The sequence below is a fragment of the Homo sapiens genome, chromosome 18 (assembly GCF_000001405.40).
Source record: "Homo sapiens chromosome 18, GRCh38.p14 Primary Assembly".
NCBI lineage: Eukaryota > Metazoa > Chordata > Mammalia > Primates > Hominidae > Homo > Homo sapiens.
The window spans coordinates 45,911,077-45,937,731 of NC_000018.10; the positions used below are offsets into that span (position 1 = coordinate 45,911,077).

The 26,655-nt window shown below is 41.0% G+C and overlaps 1 protein-coding gene across 21 annotated transcripts in view; it reads right to left on the reverse strand.

The window, feature by feature from the left end:
• Positions 1–26,655, reverse strand: part of EPG5 (ectopic P-granules 5 autophagy tethering factor) — a 166,749-nt gene that overhangs the window by 110,496 nt on the left and 29,598 nt on the right. For 9 of the 21 annotated variants that reach the window (XM_047437704.1, XM_047437703.1, XM_047437701.1 and 6 more), the window contains 12 exons: positions 23,733–23,890; positions 19,600–19,754; positions 17,793–17,933; positions 14,662–14,826; positions 12,192–12,311; positions 11,265–11,524; positions 6,603–6,743; positions 5,362–5,506; positions 4,933–5,130; positions 4,435–4,545; positions 2,630–2,752; positions 1,187–1,380 (listed from right to left, as the gene is read on the reverse strand). In XM_047437704.1, coding sequence (XP_047293660.1) covers positions 1,187–1,380; positions 2,630–2,752; positions 4,435–4,545; positions 4,933–5,130; positions 5,362–5,506; positions 6,603–6,743; positions 11,265–11,524; positions 12,192–12,311; positions 14,662–14,826; positions 17,793–17,933; positions 19,600–19,754; positions 23,733–23,890 — 1,911 coding nt within the window. The remainder of the gene's footprint in view (positions 1–1,186; positions 1,381–2,629; positions 2,753–4,434; positions 4,546–4,932; positions 5,131–5,361; positions 5,507–6,602; positions 6,744–11,264; positions 11,525–12,191; positions 12,312–14,661; positions 14,827–17,792; positions 17,934–19,599; positions 19,755–23,732; positions 23,891–26,655) is intronic. The other 12 variants (XM_047437706.1, NM_001410858.1, NM_001410859.1 and 9 more) reach the window with 3 other exon arrangements.

The following is a 26,655-nucleotide window of genomic DNA, read 5'->3' on the forward strand; positions in this document are numbered from 1 at the left end:
ATACACACACACACACACACACACACACACACACATATATATATATATATACATTTTTTTTTTGAGACAGAGTCTCGCTCTGTCACCCAGGCTGGAGTGCAGTGGCATAATCACTGCTCACTGCAACCTCCACCTCCTGGCGACTCTCCTGACTCTCCTGCCTCAGCCTCCCAAGTAGCTGGGATTACAAGCATGCGCCACTGCGCTGGGTTGTTTTTTTTTTTTTTTAGACAGACTCTTGCTCTGTCACCCAGGCTGGAGTGCACTGGCGTGATCACAGCTCACTGCAAGCTCCGCCTCCTGGGTTCACACCATTCTCCTGCCTCAGCCTCCTAAGTAGCTGGGACTGCAGGCACCCGCCACCACGCCTGGCTAATTTTTTTGTATTTTTTTTTTTAGTAGAGACGGGGTTTCACCATGTTAGCCAGGATGGTCTTGATCTCCTGATCTCATGATCCACCCGCCTCGGCCTCCCAAAGTGCTGGGATTACAGGCGTGAGCCACCGCGCCTGGCCGTGCTGGGCCAAGTTTTCTATTTTTAGTAGAGACAGAGTTTCACCATGTTGGCCAGGCTTGTCTCGAACTCTTGACCTCAAGTGATCCTCCCTCCTTGGCCTCCCAAAGTGCTGGGATTACAGGTGTGAGCCACCATGCCCAGCCAGTATCTATATATTTCAAATGAGTAAGTTAAGGGAATGAGGAATTGAGGCAGGAGCTAGAGAGCAATGGTTCGTAATAGTGGATGGCTCTGGCTGGGTGGAGTATCTTCATATGAATCCCATGAAAATGCTGAATATTCCCAAGTACAACCTACAGGTGACAGACAAAGCCTGGCCTTTGTTCACACGCGCACCACTCATCACAAGGTCCCCTCCTACAAGCCCCATGACGGTCACACAGGCAGCCTCAGTTTAAGGCAGTTGCTCTCCCTTTGCATCTCCAGAAGTTCTGTGTGAAACCTTGCCCAATCCCAGGGTGTTGTCTTTACTACACTGGTCATGGAAGATGGTAAAGAGAAGCTGCCACAAGACACCAGCAACTCAATAAAGATCCAGTCTAATAAATGTCAAACATAGAGACAGAGAAAGAGTCCTCACCAGAGATCACCAAAGAATGATTCCAACTCACACTCCACAGTCTAAGAACACATAGAATGAGAGCAGTGCAAAGGCAGAAATGGACTCACAGAAACCTACAATACTGGGCAGCATACCCATACTGTGGTCCCGGACGGTGAAGATACAGAAGGAAGAACTTCTGCCAAATGAGTGGCAGGAGGGGGTGATCAGAAGGTGTGACCAGAGCCTGGTGGGCCCAGCGATAAATCAGCAGCCTCTGGAGGGATGGCACGATGGGGAGCTTCAGCTGGGTCTGGGCTTTCTACAAAAAAGAAAGGGCTTTGAGTAGCCACAAAATGAACATAAATGCAAACGGTTAACTCTTTCTAAGTGATCCAACTGAAACACCAAACATTCTGTTTTCAATTCAATAATATATTTTTTAAAAGTCACATAAAACTCACTTCTCCAATCCACTAGTTAACATTTTAACCTCCTTGGTAGCAAGACATGTAGGGCAGCTTTTTATTCTGTCAAAACACTTCACAGACCCCAAAATGGGTATGGGTCTTAAGAGTCATCTAGTCTAACCTCATTTTCATTTCTGAAATTCCTTGGCGAATACAACGTTATAGTGCAAGGGAATAGAAAGATATGAAAACCAAAAGTAAAGCCGGGGACAGTGGCTCACACCTGTAATCCCAGCACTTTGGGAGGCCAAAGCAGGTGGATCACTTCAGGTCAAGAGTTCAAGACCAGCCTGGCCAACACGGCAAAACCTTGTCTCTACTAAAAATAGAAAAATTAGCTGGGTGTGGTGGTGCACTCCTGTAATCCCAGCTACTCGGGAGGCTGAGGCATGAGAATTGCTTGAACCCGGAAGGTGGAGGTTGCAGTGAGCTGAGATTGTGCCATTGTAAAATTCCAGCCCGGGCGACAGGGCAAGACTCTGTCTCAAAAAAAAAAAAAAGAAAAAGAAAAAAAGAAAATGTCACTATGTGACTGTCAAACTTTATCAATCTTTTGAAAATTCAGATTTCAAAAGGACATTCGAGAATGCTGAATTCTTTGAGAGGCTCTGAAACCCAAAAGCAAATTCTTTAACAGGCTCTGAAACCCAAAAGCAAAATCTATACTAAAATAGAAGGTCTTTAAAGCCTTATTCCAGTCTTTCCCACATATTAGTAAGCCTAAGAATCAGCTAGGAGTTTCAAAAAATAACCTCCTTGTCCCACTCGAGACTCAGAGACTCCAAATCCCAGAAGATGAGGTCTAGGAATCTGCTTTTTAACAAGTTCTCCAGGGAATTCTGATGTACGTGGGATGCAATGACAACACCCGTCACATGTGCAATGATCCAGCCTTCAAATACTAGGCTGAGACTCTTGTTAAACAAACCTTGAGAAGCAAGTACTCTTCAATTACACAGTTTTAAGTATTGGTTTGGTTGTTGAGCTTTCCAAACATTCACAACAAAATAAAACACAAAAGCTCAAAAGCTACGGGTGAATCCATCAGCATCAAAGTGTAAGCCACCTTCTACCACTCAAATGCAGAACTGCTATTTGTACCTTCAGAGCTTGGTCAGGGGTGAAAGCAGAGTTTATCACCAATTCCCCTTCAATAACTCTCCGGAGCTGGGAGTCCTCTTCAAAGATGGATTCCATGTTGAGCACTGTCCAGGCAAACCAGACCTATAATGACACCAGATAAAGGGGAGGGGAAGGAGGAGCTCGCCCCACTGACGAAATACATCCTGATATTCCACAATTTAAATCTCTTCCTATCTCAAGCTCAATCAGCAAATATTTGCAGTTTCTAAAATTAACACCTTTTTATACCTACCTATATCCTTGTCGCAGATATAAATTTAAATAAAATAGATCATTGGAAAATGTTACATTCCTTTGGAAAGGCTACTTTAGTACAAGATGTTCATTAACTCCATATTTACCAGGCAAGATCTGTGTGCAAGAGAGACAGGAAAGAGGACCAGACAGGGGCTCTGTCTTTAAGAAGTCTTCCATCTACTGGAGTAGACAAGACTAATATATAAGTAAGCAAAATGTGAAGTTGAGCAGTGACGAGGACTGAGTCAAGGTAAAGTGCTATATCAGAGAAGGTTCTATGTAGATGTCAGAGGGAAAGGCATGCTGGTAAGAGAATCCGCTAGGCAGAGACAAAAAGAGGAAAAGCCCGGGATGTGTCTAGGTAACAGCAAGGAGTTTGTTCCAGCTCAATCCATGAGAGGTGGGAAGAAGAGCAAGAAGTAAGACAAATAAGAGGTTGAAGAACATTACTACTGATTTAAGAGATGAAACAGACATAATTTTATACACAAAGTCTAAGAGGTGGTAATGATAAAAATAATGCTGCTGCTGATGATAATAATAACAATGGCCAACACTCAGTGAGCACTGGTTATGTGCGAAGCACTGTTCTAAATGCTTTACATATAGGTGCCATCATTATTCCCATTTGACAATTGAGAAAACTGAGGACAGATAGGTAGGCAAGCTGCCCAAGGCACAGAGCTAACAAACGGCAGAAACCAGATTGAAACCCAGACTGTCTGGTTCCAGTGACCACTCTAAACCTCTCTGCAGTGCTGCTGGGCAGTCTCTGCAGTCCGGCTGGCTGCGGTATGATCAAGAGCTGTCTACTCCTGAGACAGTCCTTAATTCCACTGAACCTCAGTTACAGCTAGACACAGTAGTGTGCCTGTAGTCCCCAAATACTAGGGAGGCTGGGAGCAGGAGAATCACTTAACAACAGGAGATTGAGACCAGCCTGGGCAACAAAGTGAGGCCCTGTATCCAAAAATGTTTTTTAATTTAAAAAAAAAAAAAAAGAAACAACTCAGGCAGGGCGCGGTGGCTCACACCTGTAATCCCAGCACTTTGGGAGGCCGAGGTGGGCGGATCACCTGAGGTGAGGAGTTCGAGACCAGCCTGACCAACATGGAGAAACCCTGACTCTACTAAAAATACAAGGTTAGCTGGGCGTGGTGGCGCATGCCTGTAATCCCAGCTACTCGGGAGGCTGTGGCAGGGGAATAGCTTGAACCCGGGAGGCAGAGGTTGCAGTGAGCTGAGATCGCGCCATTGCACTCCAGCCTGGGCAACAAGAGCAAAACTCCATCTCAAAAAAAATAAAAATAAAAATAAAAAACTCAGTTAACTCCTCTGTAAAACAGGAATGGCAACAGCACAACCTCACCAAAGGGCTACTGTAAAGATTAAATGAAAAAGTATACTTACACTAGAATAAGTGCTAAATAAAAGTTAGTTTAGACAATTAGTAATTTCTTTGTAAGGATGATCATGAGATTAAAGTTCACAAAGATAACAAATGATCCTCTCAGTGAGTTTCCTACCTGAGTGGGCGTGGCCAAGCCCTCCACAAAGGAAGGAGTGATGTTGCCTGCCACAATCCAGCTTACCAAAGATGAGAGCAGACTCCGGTCACAGTGGTAACCCAAGGCATTCTACACCGGGAGATGTGGAGCAGAGAGAGGAGGTTTTAAGGAAAATCTTATCAATGACCTTTACAAGAGTATCAGCAACTGTCTTACTACAATACAAGATTCTGATAAGACAGAGATTTCAAGGATGAGTCCACCAGCAGCAATAGTCCAAGGCAGAGCATTACAGCCAAATGTAACAAGCGGGACTCTTCCTGGGCTGTCCTTTCCAACTTCCCTAGGGTCTACGCTAGTGGACTACGATTATCGGGATAAGGTACCATTAAGGCAAAGCTTAAAGAAGGTAATGGCCACAGAGTAGAACTGAAAACTGTACTTGGGGGAATCTTTTTAGAAAGCTACTTTATCTAGCCAATCACTGAAAGATAAATTCTCTAACAGGTTAATTACCTTATGTTGTTGGTAGAGTAATTTCTGTATGCAGTCTTCCTGCATCAGCTGAAAAGCTGCTTTACACAAGTGGTCCATGAGGAAGAGGATAGGTTGTTCTCGGTACCAGAGATGCTGGCTTATGAGAGCCTGAACCCAGAACTCCAACACAGCAACGGGGCCCACTTCATTGGGCTGAGTGCTTACAGATATGTGTGCCTGTGGAGAAAAGGCTCATGTGATGGGAAAGATAACAACCAGCCTCTCATTTTTTAAATAGCAACAAAATGCTATCTACCTCCACTACAAATCCCAAATCTATTGCCTTTCTTGGCCAAAAGCACACTAAGCCAAGTGATCTGAAATGACTAAAACCTAAGTGTGCTAACGCTAGAGGTCTTGGTTGGGAAGACAGGCGGGAGTGTGCTTAGGGGCTTGCAAGGCCCTCACCTGGATCATGCTGTTGAGAAGCTTCACGTTGTCCCCATGGCTGGCTCCTGTCAGGTGCTGTGCCACCTTGTGGGTGACCTGTTGTGTGACACCCTGAGGGACACCGCTGTCCAAGTGTAGGAACAAGAGGAGATGCGATAAAAACCTGCCAAGCACACAGGAGGACGCACTTTACCTTCCGATCAGAACTCAACAGAATTTTCCCTAATTACTTATGAGGAAACAGAAAATTCCTAAATTGGTCCCATTTTTCGACCAAAGCACTATTTAAGAAGGGATTCTAGAAGAATAAAGTTTTCACATTTAACATGGGTTAAAAGGAATTCTATCTACCCACAGAGGTATTAAGAACAGATCCACGACACACAAACACATGCAAGTTAAACAGCATTAGAGGAAAAACACCCAAAGGCACCACTCTCCCCTCCTCACTCCCCAACTCCATGAATAAAGGCAGAGATGTTTCCAAACCATTCAGTTTCCAAACTTGCCTCATACCCAGGGTGCTGATTCTTAAAAAGGGGTTGAAGGGTTAGGTGAGTAGTTCCCAGGACCTAACCCATTTCTACTAAAGTAACATCTCCGGGGGAGAAACCTGGGAATCCATATTTAATAAGCTCTTTTGGGCAAATTGGAGACATACTGCTTGAAAAGACACATAACAGGAAAACTGTAATGCTCCCCTTGTGCCTTTGGATGTACTTCATGTCCCCACTGTACAGGGTTCCTCCATATGGGGTGAGGCCTCACCTCCCCTTTCATCACTGTTCATGAGGCCCCAGCCAGATGCTTTACTCTTGCCTCCCTAGACAGGTTGTTCTCTTCCCACCTTCCTAGCATCTTATCTGTTTGCAACACTGCACTATGTGCACTGTAAACAATTTAAAACAATCTTTTCTATTGTTACAATGGCAAACCATTTGCTGCTTAATATCAGAAGCACGATTCCCAGAATCTCAGGGAAACAACTGCTCCTTCATATACTATTAAGCTTTAATAAGCAATTCAAAGTTATAATAAATGAAAAGGAAAAATATCTTTCATGGTAATAAAACTGGAGTCATTATTAGAATCACTGTTCATCAACCTGCATTCTAAACTGGGGTGCAGAATATTTTTGCCCCATAATACGCTGTTGAAATAGCATTCCCTTTATTTTACTTAAGAAACCAGAAGACACAATCATTTGTACTTGCTGGACTGTTTAAGAGTGTCTCCTGCCATAGATGGAACACACTTACTGCTCATTCTTCAGAAGGTAATACTGGCAAGGGTAAAATAAAGGCAGAATCTTATCCAGGACATGAACCACTGTTCTCAAATGTCTTGACTGGACCAGAATTCCCAATAGTGGGATGCCTTCTGCACAGAACTTCTCAATGCTATGGAAAAAGAGAAAGGCACTGAATACACAAGGGAGCTGGTTCATAAAATTCTGTTCTTCCAATGAGTTATGAGCCTTCAATACCTTGGGTTATCTCAGGTCTCCAACACATGTTTTATACCCAATCTTCACACAGAAATACTAAACCCAGAATTCTAGAATTGCAAAGAAACTTAAAAGTTAATCTTTATTTTCATTGTATGGATGAGGAAGGTGAAGTATCATGCCCAAATTCACATAATTTCCTAGAGTAAGGTCAAAATGAGAACGCCAGTTTGCAAATTTCTAATCCAGAGTGCTCTCTACTACCATATTTTATTTCTCAAAAAGAGCTTCTCCTAAGAGCCGTAGGGACTCTCCTTGTCTGGATATTCCCACAAGGTATCACAGCAAAGAGGAGACTCAAAAGTGACCTCAATCTGTCAGTACAGGTTGACTATCCCTTAACTGAAATGCTTGAGACCAAGTATTTTAGATTTTGGAACACTCGTATCATACTTAAAAGCTGAGCATCCCTAATCCAAAAGTCCCAAATCCAAAATGCCCCAATGAACATTTCCTTTGAGTGCAATGTCAGAACTCAAAGTTTCAGATTTTGGAGCATTTCAAAGTTTAGATTTTCAGATTAGGGATACTCAACCTGCATAAACTGCAAAATTCTGCTAAAACCAATTTGGCATAAAAGTTTTATTCTCTGCCTCACTTCAAAGAATCTATCCTTAAAAAATAATCTCAAATACGGAAAAAAATATAAAATATGATCCATATAAAGAGGCGCTTTTCAGGTTTATTTTTAACTCTAAAACTGAGAGGTTGAAAATGACTTAAGGCAATTTTAGAAAAATCCTTTCAATTGGAAATATTATTGTATCATTTTAAAATAATACACATGATGACCAAAGGCAATGTGGAAAAACACTTCTGCTATAAAGATACTAGGGAATAAGACATAAAATTTTATACTCATGATCATAACTACTAGTAAAGAAAAGTTATTTGTGGAGGCGAATACAGGGACAATGTCACAACAAAAGAGTCATTGTACAAGAGTGGCAGAAGTGAGTGGCTTTTTCTCCACTTTCCTAATTCTGCAGTTTGGTTATACTGCTTTAATTCTGGGGGAGAAAATCATTTCAAAAAATAAAGTAATTGTGCAAAGGTTATGCCACAAGGAAGCTACTTACAATTGTAAAGTGAAAAACTAAGGATATAAAATTATACATACATCTTTAAAAAGATCAAAGGAAAAATGATGGATGAAAATAAACAGAAAAAAAATCAATGATTTTATGATGGGAAATATTCTGGGTGATTTTCTGACTTCTCTACAATGTCTGTAATATTATATTCACAAACAACTTATGTCCCTGCCTACTCCACCCATACCTAAGATTGTTTTAAGTTACTTCTATATTCCAGTACACCTAATCCCAAATGCCCACCATGGAGTTTTACACTAGAGATCAGCCCTGAGAGGAAATGCTCATTCTCACTCTCACTCCCATTCAGGATTCAGTGATCAGCACAAATCAAAAGTTATCTCTAGAGAGAGCCCACAGCAGTATCAGTGAATAAAGGGCTATGGTCCCAGAATGGATACAAGAAATTCGAGAAATCATAAAACACTTAAGTTCAGATAACTGCACTCAAGAGAATCACGTCAGACACTGTTCTAGGCATGTTACATGTGTGGTTTTTTTTTTTTTTTTGAGACAGAGTCTCGCTCTGTCGCCCAGGCTGGAGTGCAGTGGCGCAATCTCGGCTCACTGCAAGCTCCGCCTCCCAGGTTCACGCCATTCTCCTGCCTCAGCCTCCCGAGTAGCTGGGACTACAGGCGCCCGCCACCACGCCCGGCTAATTTTTTGTATTTTTAGTAGAGACGGGGTTTCACCGTGTTAGCCAGGATGGTCTCGATCTCCTGACCTCGTGATCCGCCCGCCTCGGCCTCCCAAAGTGCTGGGATTACAGGCGTGAGCCACTGCACCCGGCCTACATGTGCTCTGACTCACTTAAGCCTCATAAAGTAAGTTTGGTGTTATTAGTACTCCCATTTTAGAGATGGGAAACCTGAAGTACAGGAAGCCGTTAATAACACTAGAGCTACTGGAAACAATATAAAGAGTATGTTCCTAAGGACCCTTATCAGGTCTCCTCTTTTCTAAATCAATTCTACCTTCTTTTACTTAGCTTTCAAATCTCTCCATAATTTGGCCCAACCAAACACCTGATCACCTCCATTCTCCAACATGAATCACAGGCGTCAGTGAGAAGTGTTTCCTCATCATTTCCCTTCCTCTCCCCTTACCCACTCAGACACCTGAGGCTCCTTTCCACATTCATTCAACCCACCAGCATTTGTTGAATACCTACTAAGTATAAGATCTAGAGATACACAATTGAACAGGACAATGTCCCTACCTTCATAGAGCAAACAGTCAATGAGGAGCAGGGGAGATTACAATGACAATAAAACACAGTGAGTGTGCTGTTCAGAATGTACAGGGGCTGCAGGTGGCAGGAGATGGCCCTTGAAGTAACTGTGGGCACTAAGTAACTGTAAGAGGAACACAACATCACTCTGCTCATCAGCCTAGGATGTTGTCTTAGTCCATGTTGCACTGCTATAAAGGAATACCTGAGACTGGGCAATTAATAAAGAAAAAAAGGCTTATTTGAGTCATAATTCTGCCGGCTGGAAGACTGGGCATCTGGTGAGAGCCTCAGGCTGCGTCCACACATGGCAGAAGGCCAACGGGAGCTGGCAGGTTCAGAGATCACATGGTGAGACAGGAAGTGAGGAGGAGGCGGGGTGCCAGGCTCTTCTTAACAACCAATTCTCATGGGAACTAAGAGACAAGAACTCATTCATTACTGAGAGGATGGCACTAAGACATTCATGAGGGATCAGCCCACATGACCCAAACACCTCCCATTAGGTTCCATCTCCAACACTGGGGATCAAATGTCAACATGAGGTTTAGGGGGACAAACATCCAAACTGCGACAGATGTCTTGTCTAATTTAAGACTCCTTTCCAAAAGTCAGCTCTTCCATGAAGGTATCCCACCATACTGATCTCTCCTTCCTTTACATTCTTTCTGCTCAGCTTCTAAGTAGTTCTCAATCCAGGGTGTACATTAGAGATACTTAGAGAACTGGCCCCCAGCCCACTTAGGCCAGGATTCTCACCCTTTTCCCTGCACTGGGATTTTTAAAAGGCTCCAAAAGTGAATCTAAAGAACAGCAGAAGTTGAGAACCACTGCTTTCCACACATCATCCAGCCTGCAATTATATTCTATAGTACTGCCGATTTATTTATGCCTATCATCTCAACAAAACTGTCAACAACCCAAGGAAAGCTATCAAACAATTCTTTATCTCTCCTACTTCATAGCACAACGCTGAAGACTACAGCTGATTGCAACTGGTATCCCACTGAAATTACACTTACTGTGGAACAAGATGTTGAAATGAGGATGCTAAAAAGTGTTACAGTGAGTCTAAAACATAAGAATCAGAAAGCAGAGGTCAAAGAGTGTGAAGACAAATAAATAGACTAGAAAAAAATTAATGCATAAGAAAAGAATCTTTAAAGAGAAGGATGTTTAATCAACTGAGAAGTCATTCATGCATTCAATTATTTACTGCACCAGATATAGTCTTCATCACTAGTGATAAAATGGTAACACAAGACAAATGCCATTCCTGGGCACTTCTCTCATAGAAGTTATATATAACTGAATCTCTGAGAAAATTGAACAGATTAACTATGATATAGTGTGATAAATGCTCCAGTAGAAGACATACAGACAGCTATGGGCTCATATCAGAGAGGCATCTGACCTAGTCAGGCATTTCATTCTTCTAGACAGTTAAGGGGACCTCTAGTTAAGAAAACCAAACACCACATGTTCTCACTCATAGGTGGAAATTGAACAATGAGAACACCTGGACATAGAGCAGGGAACATCACACACCAGGGCCTGTCATGGGGTGGGGGGCTGGGTGAGGGATAGCATTAGGAGAAATACCTAATGTAAATGATGAGTTAATGACTGCAGCAAACCAACATGGCACATGTATATGTATGTAGCAAACCTGCACGTTGTGCACATGTACCCTAGAACTTAAAGTAAAATTTAAAAAAAAAAAAAAAAAAGCCTGAGTTGGGCTACGATCAATTTTTCAAAAATTTTACTACAGGTGATCAATTATTTTTATTTGATCACAATTCTGAGGAAGACAGTACGAATCTACTGCTGACACGAACATTCCACTCCAGGAGACAAGCAGAACTCTCTTCATAAAGTAACATTTAGGTGACTTGCTTGTACAAATCTGAAGTATGTGAATTTGGGCAGCATCTCCCCTTGATAAGCTGTTAATCAAGGATTATTATTTGGCCCAATTGCTCCGCAATAGGTTTGACAGAGGCCTCAGAACTTGGGATATGAAACATAAAATTCTAGAACTATCTGCAAGGTTCAGTAACCCTAGTGGTTCAGCCCAACACTGTACCTGTGGCCCACAGCTGTCATAGATAAGGCTAGATAACAGCCAATGGGCATGCCCGCTTTCACAGCCTTCAAGAGAGGATGAAACGTGGGTGACTCTGTCATGTCAGGCACAGTGACGGAGAAGGGAACAGCTGGACAATTCGGCTGTATTCCATAATCGTTTTTGTGCAGTTTTAGCCTCAAGATTAAATTCCAGGCCCATTGGTTAAATGAGGTCTCGGGTGTCTCTCCATATCGAACAATACTGGCCAAATATGAAACCTAAAACAATTATTTATTTTGAGCCACATTAGTCACACACAAATTAAATCAGTAAGCTCATACACTCATCTCCTTTTGTGACCAACAATGCCCTCAACGCAGAGGAATATTCTACTTGCTGGTCTCCAATTAATGTTCACTGCACTACATCAAAGCAATTTTTCACTCGCAACTTGCGCTTACTTGCTAGTCACTTTGTGAACCTGATCTTAGCTCATGTAAAAGAAAAGTGACATAAAAGTTGATACTCAATGAATAGTGTGCCGATAAATAAGTTTAACCATCAGGACGGAGGTCTCATATATAGCGCTTGTCAATTTTGGTGGTGTAAAAATTCCCACCATGGTCAATTTTAAGCTACCAATGGTTTAATAACCTGGCTTGCAAAGTTTCTAAAAATTTAAGTCAGTTCTCCAGAGCCAGTACAACCAAGCTCTAACACACCACTGCAGTTCAATTCAAATTCTGTAATATTAGAATAGTTATATACAGGCTATTTCTTAAAGAAGAATCTTTATCAAACCATAGAAGTCAATTATAACATCTTAAATTGCTAGAAATGTTCTTAGGATACCTAATGGTCAATAGTATAAGTCTATCATCTTTATTTCTAAATGTCTTGGGAAGATAAAGATTCATGTTTCCAAATCAGAAGAGAAGGAAATACCTGCTTCATACTTTCAGAGAGAATCCCAGCATATGGCTTCTGTGCAAGGTACTTCTGATAAGCTTCAAGAACCATTAAAGCCACTTCAGCATGGACTGCTTGATCCAGATGAAGGGTAGCCTTTTAAAGAGAAAAATAATCACAAACATACAACCTTGGTTTTGTTTTGTTTTTGTACCTTTGAATCAAAACATTAGGCAGAATAGTAACAAAGGATCTTCGATGTAGAAGCTAAATGTTCCAAAAATCACATCCCACACAGTCAAACTATAAAATGACAATGGGCAAAAAACTGTCAAGGGCAATAACACTGTACCTAGATAGGTTTGAACCTGACTTAACCCCTACTCCAGCCAAAAAAGGTTATCTTTGAATGTCATCCCCCATTCCACCCAAGAATCTCTACAAACACTTCGGGTCAAGGGCAACGCCACAAACCAGGAAGATGCTTAATTAAACAGAAAAATATTTAATGAACTGTCTAGGCGTGGTGGTTCATGCCTGTAATCCCAGCACTTTGGGAAGCCAAGACAGACAGATAACTTGAGGTCAGGAGTTTGAAACCAGCCTGGCCAACATGGTGAAACCTTGTCTCTACTAAAAATACAAAATTAGCCAAGTACGGTGGTGCACGCCTGTAGTTCCAGCTACTTGGAAGCCTGAAGCAGCAGAATTGATTGAACCCAGGAGGCAGAGGTTGCAGTGAGCCAAATCGTGCCACTGCACTCCAGCCTGGGTGACAGAGTGAGATTCTGACTCAAAAAAAAAAAAAAAAGAGAAAGATATTTAATAAATTATGTCTACATTCCCTTTTCCTGTTCTATCATTAGTTACAATAAATAAGACACTCAGCAACACAGGTAAAATATTCCTTCTGATGCCTGAAGTTGCCTATCAAATTTCCTACACTATCTTCCTTTGCAGCCTGGAAAAATACATTCCTTAAACCTTTCAGAAAGATGACTTTCCTAACTCTTAACAAAGGCATAAGGAGACTCTCACGCAGCTCTTCAAGAGGAGAGCCTAGGTGATTCTGTTCACAAGCCAGAGAATGTGAAGGTGGAAAACAGCCCCCTGTAGCTCTTGCCTACGAGCATGTCAATGAGAGAGGGCCCAGATGAATCTATGGGCAGTCCCAAGTGGTCAAGGACACCTCAGCAGAAAAGCTCCCGGGCTTCAGTTTCCTCATCTGCACAACAGGTATCATGCTGTCCAGGACTAAATGACTTGCTCAGAACAAAACCTGTCAGACAGGTGTAAAGGGCTGAGTTTGCCACCATTTTCCCTTTTAAATGTTAATCTTCTTATGGAAGAGCTAACAAATAAGGCCTATGGTAAAGAGGCAGAGAAGGTCTTTTAACAGTGAAAATCACTTGAAATGTATCTCTGAAGATATATGCTACATAGCAAACCCTTAATAATAACCACACCACTGAGTACGTAATGTGTGGCAAGAATCATCCTAAACATCTTGTGTTTCCTCATTTGTTTAACCTTTACAACAACTCTATGCGCAGTGGCACGCGCCTGTAATCCCAGCTACTCGGCAGAAGGCTCTCTTAAGCCCAGGAGTTCAAGGCCAGCCTGGGCAGCATATTGAGACTCCATCTCAAAACAAAACAAAAAACAACCCTGTGAGACATTGAGGTATACTCGTTAATATGAATGTTTACAAATAAGCAACTAAGGCCCAAAGAGTTTAGGAAACTTGCTCAGAGTCACACAGCCAGAAGGTGGCAGAACTGGGATCAGAACCCAGGGAGGCTGGCTTAGAGCTCAGACTCTTAACCAATGCATAGTGTTTCAGAAAACAACCCTGACAATGACATGCAAGACAAATTACAGGAGAAAAAGGAATGAGAGGCAGAAGAGGCAATTAGGAGAAACTAAAGTAACTAGCCAGAGACAAAACAACAGATACAGCCAGGCACGGTGGCTCATGCCTGTAATTCCAGCACTTTGGGAAGCCGAGGCAAGGTGGATCACTTGAGGTCAGGAGTTCGAGACCAGCCTGGCCAACATGGCAAAACCCTGTCTCTACTAAAAAATACAAAAATTAGTCAGGTGTGGTGGCATGCACCTGTAATCCTAGCTACTTAGGAGGCTGATGCAGGAGAATTGCTTGAACCTGGGAGGAGGAGGTTGCAGTGAGCCAAGATAGTGCCACCGCACTCCAGCCTGGGTGACAGGGCAAGACTCTGTCTCAAACAAAAAAAATAAAAAATAAAAACAGATACATGGGAATAAGGAAAAAGGGAAGAATTTTCAATGTGGAACAATTTATCCTCATTTAATAGTTGCTCATTCTGCAAAAGAGAATTAAACAGAAAATCCTAAACTCTGACACAGCTACAAAGAATTTGTAGACCTTGCAAATGGTACTCAGAAATGTTAGTGTTTTGACAAAATCCTTCTTTGAAACAGATGCATGTACAACCTCCAGTCTCCAGGGAATGGTTTGAACACATACCTGTTTAGCAAATCCCCAATTCAGTCCTTCAAGAATAACACAGGCCAGTTTATTCTTCACCACTGTCAGGTTGTAATTCAATAACCAATCCCGAATCACCGCTATCTCAGATGCAGAAGGTTGCCAAAGATACAAAGGCAGTTCTTTAAACAAGTATAGAGAAACCTTATTAAAAAGAAAACAATAATCATTAAATAAAGACTTAGAAACAATGCTATATTACTACAATATTATATTATTAAACTGCTTGTAAAAAAATTTCTCCAAAAGGAACTGGAGTTTTTGTTTAATTTTTAGACAAGTGAAATGGAAATCACGGACAACCAAATCAAGTGGGTATTAAAATTGATGATACATCAAAAGCACATTTCATAATCCTTTGTAAAGATCAATCTTTTTAAATATTCAAATTGGTATGCTTCAGTTTAGGTAAACCACCACACTAATGCACATTTTTAAAGTCATGATAAATCGGGGGACGGCTATTCACTTTGCAAAAGAATTTAGCACTTTAAGTAATTATTCATTCTATGGCATTTAGAAAGATACTCTATTGGCTTCCAAGCCATCCAGGCCGGGGGTGGGGTGAGTGGGAGGGTGGTAAGATGAAACAAGATCAACAAAGAGACCAAGAGTTGATAGCTATTGTTAAAACTTGATGATAGGCCATTATACCATACTATTCTCATTACTTTTATATGTATTTGAAATAATCCACAATAAAAAATTTTTAAATCCTATTTACAGAAAGTCTACAGCACTACTTTTAAAATAACACATCCAAGTGTGCAAATTAAGATAAATCTGGGCCAGGCATGATGGCTCATGCCTGTAATCCCAGCACTTTGGGGGGCCCAGGTGGACAGATCACCTGAGGTCAGGAGTTTGAGACCAGCCTGGCCAACATGGTGAAACCTCGTCTCTACTAAAAATTAGCCAGGCATGGTGGCACGCGCCTGTAATCCCAACTACTCAGGAGGCAGGAGAATCGCTTGAACCCATTGGCGGAGGTTGCAGTGAGCTGAGATTGAACCACTGCACTCCAGCCTGGGTGACAGGGCAAGACTCTGTCTTGGGAGAAAAAAAAAAAAGAAGCCAAAAACAAGAAAAACACTTGAGAAAAATGTCATGAGCTCAAACTGAAAGAATCATATGATCCACTGTACATTTCTCTGGAATTCATCCACTAATCACTCAAGAAGGAGCAACAGAAAACTTCCTACTGTATTGAACTGTATATGAAAAGCTTTTTATCTCAATATAATCATCTTGCAGTAGCATACAATGTTTTTCTTTTCTTTTTTTTTTTTTTTGAGACAGAGTCTCTATCTGTAGCCCAGGCTGGAGTGCAGTGGCGTGATCTCAGCTCACTGCAAGCTCCGCCTCCCAGGTTCATGCCATTCTCCTGCCTCAGCCTCCTGAGTAGCTGGGACTACAGGTGCCCGCCACCACACCCGGCTAATTTGTTTTTTTTTCCATTTTTAGTAGAGACGGGATTTCACCGTGTTAGCCAGGATGGTCTCGATCTCCTGACCTCGTGATCCACCCGCCTCGGCCTCCCGAAGTGCTGGGATTACAGGCGTAAGCCACTGTGCCCAGCCAACACTGTTTTTCTTAAAAGGAAAATGACCATGTACTGCCACTATGGAAAACAGTATGATGGCTCCTCAAAAGACTAAAAATAGAATTATGACATGATCCAGCAATTCTACTTCTCACATGCCCAAAAGAAGTGAAAGCAAGGCCCGAAAGAGATATTGGTACATCCGCATTCACAGAAACATTATTCACAATAGTCAAAAGGCAGAAGCAACCCAAGTCCCCATCAATGACTGAATGGATAAACAAAAAGTTATACACACACACACACACACACACACACACACACACACACACGCACCAAGGAATTATTATACAGGCTTAAAAATGAAGTAAATGCTGACACATGCTACAACATGGATGAACCTTGAGGATATCATGCTAGCTGAAATAAACCAGTCACAAAGACCATATATTACATAGTTCCATTAATATGAAATGTCTGAAATAGGCAAAAATCTAGAGACAGACATTAGATTAGGGCTTAGGGCCCTAATCTATGAAAGGTGCTTAGGACCCCAACCTAAGAAAGCTTCTTAGAGCTGAAGGAGATAGAAGAGTAAGAGTGATAGCTGGGCCAGGCACGGTGGCTCATGCCTGTAATCCCAGCACTTTGGGAGACCGAGGTGGGTGGATCACCTGAGGTTAGGAGTTCAAGACCAGCCTGACCAACACAGTGAAACCTCGTCTCTATTAAAAATACAAAAAAATTAGCTGGGCATGGTGGCGGGCGCCTGTAATCCCAGCTACTTGGGAGGCTGAGATAGGAGAATCACTTGAACCTGGGAGGCAGAGGTTGTAGGGAGGCAGAGGTTGCAGTGAGCCGAGATTGAGCCACTGCACTCCAGCCTGGGTAACAAGAGCAAAACTCCATCTCAAAAAAAAAAAAAGTGATAGCTGAAGTCTAAGGGTTTTTGAGGTGATGAAAATGCTCTAAAATTGACTGTGTTGAGAGTTGCACATATCTGTGAATAGACTAAAAACCACTGACGTATATACTTTAAATAGGTAAATTGTATGGTATGTGAATTACATCTCAAGAAAACTTTTGAAAAACTACATGAAGATTGCAAAAGGGATTGTGACAAATGACAGAAACAAATTAAATGTGTCCTCCTCAACTTAAGTTACTACATACTATTTATTTTGCTTTTGGCTGACTTTAAATAGGACCTTCTTTGTCAGTTGTTTATTCCAAGTATAAAATATAAAAACTATGAAAGCCAAACAAATTATGAAATAAAAATTGTTAATTAACTATAGGTCATAAGTAAAGTAAAAATATGTTATTGAACGAGGTGGACAAGTCAACCTTGAGATTTGAGAGAAACAATCACATCTTTTTATAAGCAGCAGCTAATCCCAAGTTGGTGTGGTGAGTGACACAGAGGCTGGCACAGTAAATGTTAGTTCCTTTTATCCTGTTTATACCCCTAGTGACAAGATCATTCCCAAGAACCTTCCTATTTTTGCCAATGTTCCATTACTCCAAGATTTGAAAAAACAAAAACAAACAAAATCAGTGCTCTTACCATTCCAACCTGGTCAATGGTCTCTTGAACTCTATCCAGAAGGACGGAAATTATCTCAGGGTGAACAGCTGTGATAGTCCCTAAAAGCTCTCGACCAACCTTTGAAAAAGTCTCTCTGGTAGACAAGGTGACATAAGATACCTAAATGGGGGGAAGGGGGAAGAAGATGGCACTTTTAATATCAATTAGCAGTCAAAACACACTTATATCATTTTTTCAAGCAAAGCAGAAAGAATCTTACATTGAGCCTTAATTGACACTATGTTCCAAAAAATGTTAAAACTTCATACAGGCAACTGTCTACTCTGAGGCCGAAAGGTGCAGGGAGAGGAATATAAGAGAATGGCAACTTCTTATAACAATGACTTCAAGTGTGGATTCAAAAAGTATATCCCAAAGTCTGTCGGTAACAATAAAATGGTTCCTGCAGTTTCAAAACTTTTCTAAATCTGAGGAAATCACTACAATGATGAAAATCAGAATGCATTTCATGGAAATGCCTAGCTTCCCCTACAGAATAAGAACCCTAACTACAAGACCTTCTAAAACATTGTTTACCAACTCCTTTTGAATTATGTCTTCCAAAGTGTATGTTACAATCCATTAATGCCAATGGTATTTTTTAACACAATGGAATATACAGAAAAATAACAGAATAAAATAAAATAGAAAAATGTAATAGTGTATCACAGGTAGATTAAGTATTGCTTCAATTGTACATACACACACAGGATCAGAATGTAATATAGAATGTAATTTTTATTGTGACTCCTGGTCAAAACACTGGAAACTTTACTCAAGAGCATAAATATTACTTTAGCAACAGATCTTGAGAATGTCACTTAATGTCTGTGAAAATATGTCTTCTCTCCCCAAGTTTTTCAGATCATGAAGACAGTCTGAATTCCAGATCCATCGAGATCTTAACTTTATGCATGGTTATGAAGTACCAGTATAGGAACAGCTGAATCAAGTATTTGATCCTGGAAAGAACATCCAGGTTTGTCATTCTCAAACTGGATTATTAGGGGAAGATAATAAAACCCAAATAATCATCTTCAAACATAATTTTACTTGAGCACACTAGAATACTTTGGAGGAGATATTTTGTATGCAGATAAACAGATAAATGACAGCTTAAAGTGTAAAATGTGCAAGGCTTTTTAAATATACAAAAAACTCCAATGAACATTTTGGTAACCACTTTGGGCTAGTCCCTAGATGCTCAGGGGTCCAAATTTCACTCCCCTCCACCTTCACGGATGGCTCAGTGAAAAGATGAAGAATGCAAGGATCTCCTCCCAGCCTGTAATTTCATATTATAGATGAGGAAAATGAAGCCTGGGGTAATAAGTTATCTTTTTTGATGTGAGATGGCCAATTAATAGCAGAGTTAAAACTCAGGTATCCTAACTCCAGGTTCAATATTCTTCCCACCATCTCATTTAAACTGGCTGGGAAGCTAGGTTTCTGCTACTAGCCAGAGTGGAAGAGTTTAGTTGAAGGGGTGGGGGCGAGGGAAACATACATCATAAAAACTGTGTCAGGCTGTGTCACATTGTCTCTCCCTTACTGAAACTGGTGCAACAAATTTCAAAAGATAATAAGTACTGGGGAATGGATATAATTCACATTTTCAATAATCCCTGTAGCAAAATAATGTTCCACTGATTCTCTATCCCTTCTCTGAAGTGTAGACAGTAGCTAAATAAGTCACAATTTGTAAAAGCAATCCCCCAAAAAATCAACAGATGGACAATCCAAAAGAAAACATTTTTAGCTGATTTATAAAACTTCATATTCTAACCTCATATATCTCCAGAACAATAATTTTTATGAAGTCTTCGTCCACATTGGTTCTTCTGGCCTGAGCCATCTGAGCAAAGGTAGTCAGAAGGCAAATCTCTTCTGAGCTATTCATAGAAGAAAGACACTTCTCAAAGTTGGTAAAATGTTCTGGGTCTGCAAGTTCATATCAAGAAAATTAGAGTGGGGAAAGAATAAATTTATATCTTTTAATCACTCTTCCAGAGAAAAAGATTTAGGAATATTTAAAGATACAAAAGGTCTTTCTTTGTTCCAAAATAGATTTCTACAGGCATCAGGAATAAGGCTGGACCAGATGGCCTCTGAAATTCCAACAAACTCTAAATATAATGTAGCCTCACAGAAAACATTTAACATCTCTTAGCTTCAGTACCCACATCTGTCTCAAAAGGTTACTTAATAAGAAGGTTAAATAGCATGTCACTGGTGACGTGCTTAGTTAACTGCAAAGCACTGCTGCTGTCACCAGGCAGTCACCTTCAAAGGCAGTACTGCCAACTTCAAAGGCACACTTGAAGCTACTTGGTAACTGTCAGACAAACAAAGACCTGACTAATGAAAACTGCTAATACTAGCAACTACTTGGCACAAATAGGGCATTCCAAAAAAAAGAGATTTGCTTATGAAGAAAAACTGGGGGCAAGAAATTAGTTATAACCGTAAATGAAATACTAATGAATGTCATAAACGATATAATAAATGTGATATGTTTTGCCTATATCACAAAGGATGTTGTAAAAGCAATACTAAATTCTGCCATTAGGAAGCAATATTCACAAATATACATGACAGTAAACTACATGCAAAGTTCTACAGCAGAAAGGAAAAAAAGCCCATTTTAAAAATATATGTGCTTGGCCGGGCGCTGTGGCTCACACCTGTAATCCCAGCACTTTCAGAGGCCAAAGATGGGCAGATCACTTGAAGTCAGGAGTTTGAGGCCAGCCTGGCCAACATGGTGAAGCCTCGTCTCTACTAAAAATACAAAAATTAGCTGGGCGTGGTGGCACACGCCTGTAGTCCCAGCTACTCGGGAGACTGACGCAGGAGAATCACTTGAACCTGGGAGGCGGAGGTTGCAGTGAGCCAAGATCACACCACTGTACTCCCACCTGGGCAACAGAGCAAGACTCCATTTCAAAAAAATAATAATAATAAAATTAAATTAAATATATACATATATATATATATCCTTGATGGAACTTTTCACAGTAAGAAGGCAACAAGCCAATAATTCTTTTCATATTTACACATTTGAGAAACCAAGGTAGATAGCTCACCAAATTTCCTGCATTTTCAAAATAACTCTGGGACATTTACCAAACCAATTTTCATTTTCCATCTCCAAATTGGATTTATAGTGGAAATTATTACACAAAGTATTCCCAGAATAATGAAAATTGGCATGATCATTCTAACGTATATTGTGAAAGGATATTTAAAAAGAAAAAAAAGAATTATCATTCAAACTTACAATGTTTAAGGTACAAATCAAGGAAAAGGCCTTATATTTTAAATAACTCTATAGAAAAAACAATGGGAAAGTGAAATAACTTTCTAATTAGCTTTTAAAATATTAACTATAAGGACAAACACATTTCTACAGTTATTTATCATCAGATTTGCTTATGGCTACACTTTACTAGTAGTCAGAATGTTGATTAGACTAGAAATAAACAAAAAGAAGCCAAATTAAAACAGACTGGTTTTTAACAATCATTGCTAAGAAATCTGCTAGTTAGAAAATGTTAAAACTAGTTAAAATTTGTTCCCTGGAAACTGATTTCAAGCTCACCCTACTCCTATTACCACAGATAAATAAGAACTGGTTATAAAGAATAAGCACTTCTGGCATTTACTAAATATAAAAAGTGAGGAAGGGAAAAGATGTTAGAAAGCCTTATTCTTCCACAAACAATAAAAATCAAGCCTCCTAACAAAATTGATATATAAAAGATTAAGCAAAGGAGAAGATGAAAAAACAGCAAATTAGAGCAGGAGGATCAAATTTTGCAAAGACTCCACTCTCAAAGCTAGAACATAGTAGGCAGATGAAACTTCTCTACTGTGCCACTAACTCCTGTGTCAGGTGATACAGGCCCTAAGGGAGATAAAGATAAAAGTGCCGTGGAAGCCTGGAGTCCAGACAGAAAACTCCAGCAGCAGGATCCAAAGCTCTAGGGCAAGGCAAGGCTGGTACTGCCACTTCAGGGTCTGGAATCACATCCACTACAGAGCTGAGCTGTTTGACATCGGCTCCATCTGCCACATGCTAACACAGAGCCTGGCAGATAGTAAGTCCGCAATGAAGGGAGATGACACTACAAAGGAGACCTACCCAGGACTCAGGTATACAAAGTAGTGCTGCTGACCATCCCAGGCACTTCCAAAGGAAATGTCTGCTTCTGTATTAGCTATTTCAACCACAGAAATAGCCGCCAGAGGACAGACAATGGCTGTGAGACCTCTCACCTAGCTCACTCGTAAGCCCAGGTCCAACCACGGCAATGGTCTAATAGAAGCACTGCCCCCAGGACAGTGGAGAAGCACTTTACAAAGAATAATAATATAAGGAATCCAGAGCTACCACTAAGAAGATAGAAAGAAAAACAGAAAGGGACAAAAGAGGACGCATGCAGAGCCCCATAAAAGAAAAAAACAGAAACAGAAGAATAAAGACATCAAGAGAGACAGAAATGGAGGCTGAGTACGGTGGCTCACGCCTATTATCCCAGCGTTTTGGGAGGCCAAGGCAGGTGGATCACTTGAGGTCAGGAGTTCAAGACCAGCCTGGCCAACAATGTGAAACCCTGTCTCTACTAGAATATAAAAATTAGCTGGGCATGGTGGTGCACACCTGTAATCCCAGCTACTCAGGAGGCTGAGCTAGGAGAATCACTTGAGCCCGGGAGATGGAAGTTGCAGGGAGCTGAAGTTGCACCACTGCACTCCAGCCGGGGCAATGCTCATTCTCAAAAAAAAAAAAGAAATGGAAATAAAAAAATAAATCATGAATGTCTGCAGAAACTACTTTGCAAACAGTAGAGGCCCAATAATTTTTAAAGTATATGATTTTCTTTTAAGTGATACAGACATTTAAAAATTTGGAAAACAGCCTTTACTTCCTGCTGTGAAGGAAAAAACACTTGGAAAACAGAATTATCTTTGGTGTTTTTTTTTAGTCTTGTATTTCAGTAAATTGTCTATCTTTTTTAACGTATAGGGTAGTTTTTTAAAATCACTACAACATACATCTAATTAAATGGTGTTTTTCATTTCGAACATTATAATTTTGTTATAAGTAAATATCCTGGCCAGGCACGGTGGCTCACGCCTGTAATCACAGCACTTGGGAGGCCGAAGCAGGCAGATCACCTGAGGTCAGGAGTTCAAGACCAGCCTGGGCAACATGATGAAACCATGTCTCTACTAAAAATACAAAAAATAGCCAGGCGTGATAGCGTGGACCTGTAAGCCCAGCTACTCAGGAGGCTGAGGCACTAGAATCACTTGAACCCAGGAGGTGGAGGTTGCAGTCAGCCAAGAGCACACCACTCCACTCCAACCTGGGTGATAGAGTGAGACCCTGTCTCAAAAAAAATAAAAAATAAAAATAAATAAATATCCTGTAGTTTAGAGGTGGTATGACGCAAAAACTTAAGTTTTCACCAAAATTAATTTTTAAAGTACACCTGTCTACATCTTTAGTTCATAAAAACAATACAACTTTAAAAAAACAGCAATAAAAGAAAGATATTAAAATGGCTGGGCACAAAGCCTTAACAAATTTCTAGACAATTAATACATATCTGTTAATACAACTGTCAACTAGAATAATTTCACACACACATGCAAAAAAGTGCTTCCTAAAAGTTAGAATATTGTGTGTATTGGTATACTGTTTGGGACTAATCAAATTTTGATTTCAGATATGCTAGTTGCTATTTAATACATCAAAACTGTGAAGCAGTCTCCTGAATTTCAAAATCATTACACATGAGTATGTAGAGTAAAACATTTTCTCTTAGTCCTTCTAAAAGTAAAAATTAAGCCCTGAAGAGAAGCACAAAAAGATAGGGAGAGCTGGACGCCGACTGCTCGGCGGGGCTGTACCTTGGAGCTGCTGCTTGCACTGGGCGGGCTGCAGGGAGGAGGAGAGCTGCTGCAGGTTCTCGCTCTCCACCTGGTGCATGAGGTAGAAGAGCTTCCACAGCATTTGCACAGACAGAGTCCCAAAGGGCATCTCGGACATAAACAGCCAAATGCCAAGTCTGCATGTAAGCAGGAATCATTTTATTTATTAATCAGCTTCATTACACTAAGAAAGTAGACAAACCATTGGCTCTCAAGGAAAAAAAGATTCTTAAATCACACTATGATTTTTCTAATATGCTTTAGTCATAAACACCTCAAGGATGGCTAAGAATAACAGCAAATACAAACCACCCAGTCTGTGCCAGGGACTGTTCTAACCACAACAATGTGTGCATGTGTGTGTGTATACATGTATGTACAATATCAACTCAAACCATCCTCACAAAAACCAAGACAATAATTATGGATATGGCCGGGCGTGGTGGCTCACGCCTGTAATCCCAACACTTTAGGAGGCCGAGGCAGGTGGATCACTTGAGGTCAGGAGTTCGAGACCAGCCTGACCAACATGGTGAAACCCCATCTTTACTAAAAATACAAAATTAGCCAAGCGTGGTGGCGCATGCCTGTAATTCCAGCTACTTGGGAGGCTGAGGCAGGAGAATCACTTGAACCCAGGAGGTAGAGATTGCAGTAAGCCAAGATCGCACCATTGTACTCCAGCCTGGGCAACACGAGTGAAACTCCAACTCAAAAATAATAAGTATTATTATTACGGATATTAGCACCAATGCACACAGGCTACTAAGGCGCACACAGGTACTAAGGCACACACAGTAGTGGGTGGCAGAGAGGCCAGCTGTGGATGTGTGTGTCTGAGCACACACACAGGTACACGTGTGCCCACAGACACATGTGCAGTGGGTGGGAGGAAAATCGAAATCCATCCAGTACTCCTCTCTGAACACTGAACAAAGTTCAAATTCCTCAGCCCACATTCAAAGGCTTCCACAGTATGGCTCTGAATCATATTTCCAACCACAGCCCTCTCTGTCCTCCTTCAGTTACCACTGCATTCCAGCAAGCCTGGAGAGACCCCACACCTCCAGGCTGGCTCCTTCCATGGGTCAAGCCCTCCTTGGACTTCCTCCTCTGCACTATTACAGAACTCCATCCATACCTGACTTTGCCATCATCATACATTCTGCCAGTGATCCCCACACTGTAGTGGCAGAAAAACCACCTGGAGACTTTCTGGAAAATGCAGATTCCCAAGCCTCACCTATAGAGACCATGATTTTGTAGGTCACAGCTGGGGCACAAGAATTTACACCTTTATAGTCACCCTTGGTGACTCAGACTCAAGTGATTCTTAAAACACAACATGAGAAACCCCTCATGGTACTGTAATTTACATATGACATACTAACCTAACAGCAATTTGAGAGCAGAAACCATGTCTTGTTCATTTTTATATAAACCAGTTTATAACTAGAACCTTGTATTTTAATTATCTGCTACTTAAACCAGTATCTCAAAAACAATCAGCACTCAATAGATGCTTATTAAAATTGTATGTAAATGTTATCACAACTAAAAAAAAACACTTGTATCAGGATGGTGGCCATGCCCCAAGTCAGAATCTGCTAAGGAATGGCTGGATGCGGTGGCTCACGCCTGTAATCCCAACACTTTGGGAGGCTGAGGCGGGCAAATCACTTGAGGTCAGGAGTTCGAGACCAGCTTGGCCAATATAGTGAAACCCCATCTCTACTAAAAATATAAAAATTAGCCGGGCACGGTGGTGTGCGCCTATAGTCTCAGCTACTCGGGAGGCTGAGGCAGGAGAATCACTTGAACCTGGGAGGCGGAGGTTACAGTGATGGTGTCACTGAACTCCATCTTGGACAACAGAGTGAGACTCCATTTCAAAAAAAAAAAAAAAAAAAGGAAATCTGCAAAGGAATGTACAGCAACTTACCTGTTATTAAATTAAAAAAAAAAAAACTTAAAAAAATACGAGGCACTCAAAGCTGTTGCCGTATTTGAGAAACAACTACTACAAATCATCCAATTACAAATTATCTAATTACAAATAAACCAAATTTAAGAAAAAAATGAATAGTGCATGCCTAATCCACATCTATGAACCTAAACAGGCAACTGGTAGTTCAAACCCACACTTACCTGGACTCTGGAAAAGCCAGCTAGACTTCTGAACAAGAGATTAAGAAACTTCTCTAAGGTCAGTTGGGCCAGGTTTCTATCTTATTAGTTAATTATCCTAACACTTCACATGGGACCTGATGCTGTTTTATACCCCAAAACAAAGAAGGGAAATTGTAGAGGACTTAAAAGTAATATCACAAACAGGGTGTATTTCAGGCTATAAAATTCCCTATATGGCAGACATTCAGGAAGTCTGGCATATATATACATATATATACACACACACACACACACACACACACACACACACACACACACATATGTATACACACACATACACGTATATATTTATATAGGTATTTATATATATATACACATATATATAGATATACACATATATATACACACACACATATATATACACACACACATATATATACACACACACACATATATATATATTTTGAGACAGAGTCTTGCTCTGCTGCTGAGGCTGGAGTACAGTGGCGCGATCTCAGCTCACCGCAACCTCCACTTCCGGGGTTCAAGCGATTCTTCTGCCTCAGCCTCCCGAGTAGCTGGGATTACAGGTGCCTGCCACCACGCCCAGCTAATTTTTGTATTTTTAGTAGAGACAGGTTTTCACCATGTTGGCCAGGCTGGTCTTGAACTCCTGACCTCAGGTGATCCGCCCACCTCAGCCTACCAAAGTGCTGGGATTACAGGCATGAGCCACCACGCCCAGCCCTGGTTTATATTTTTGTTGTCTGTC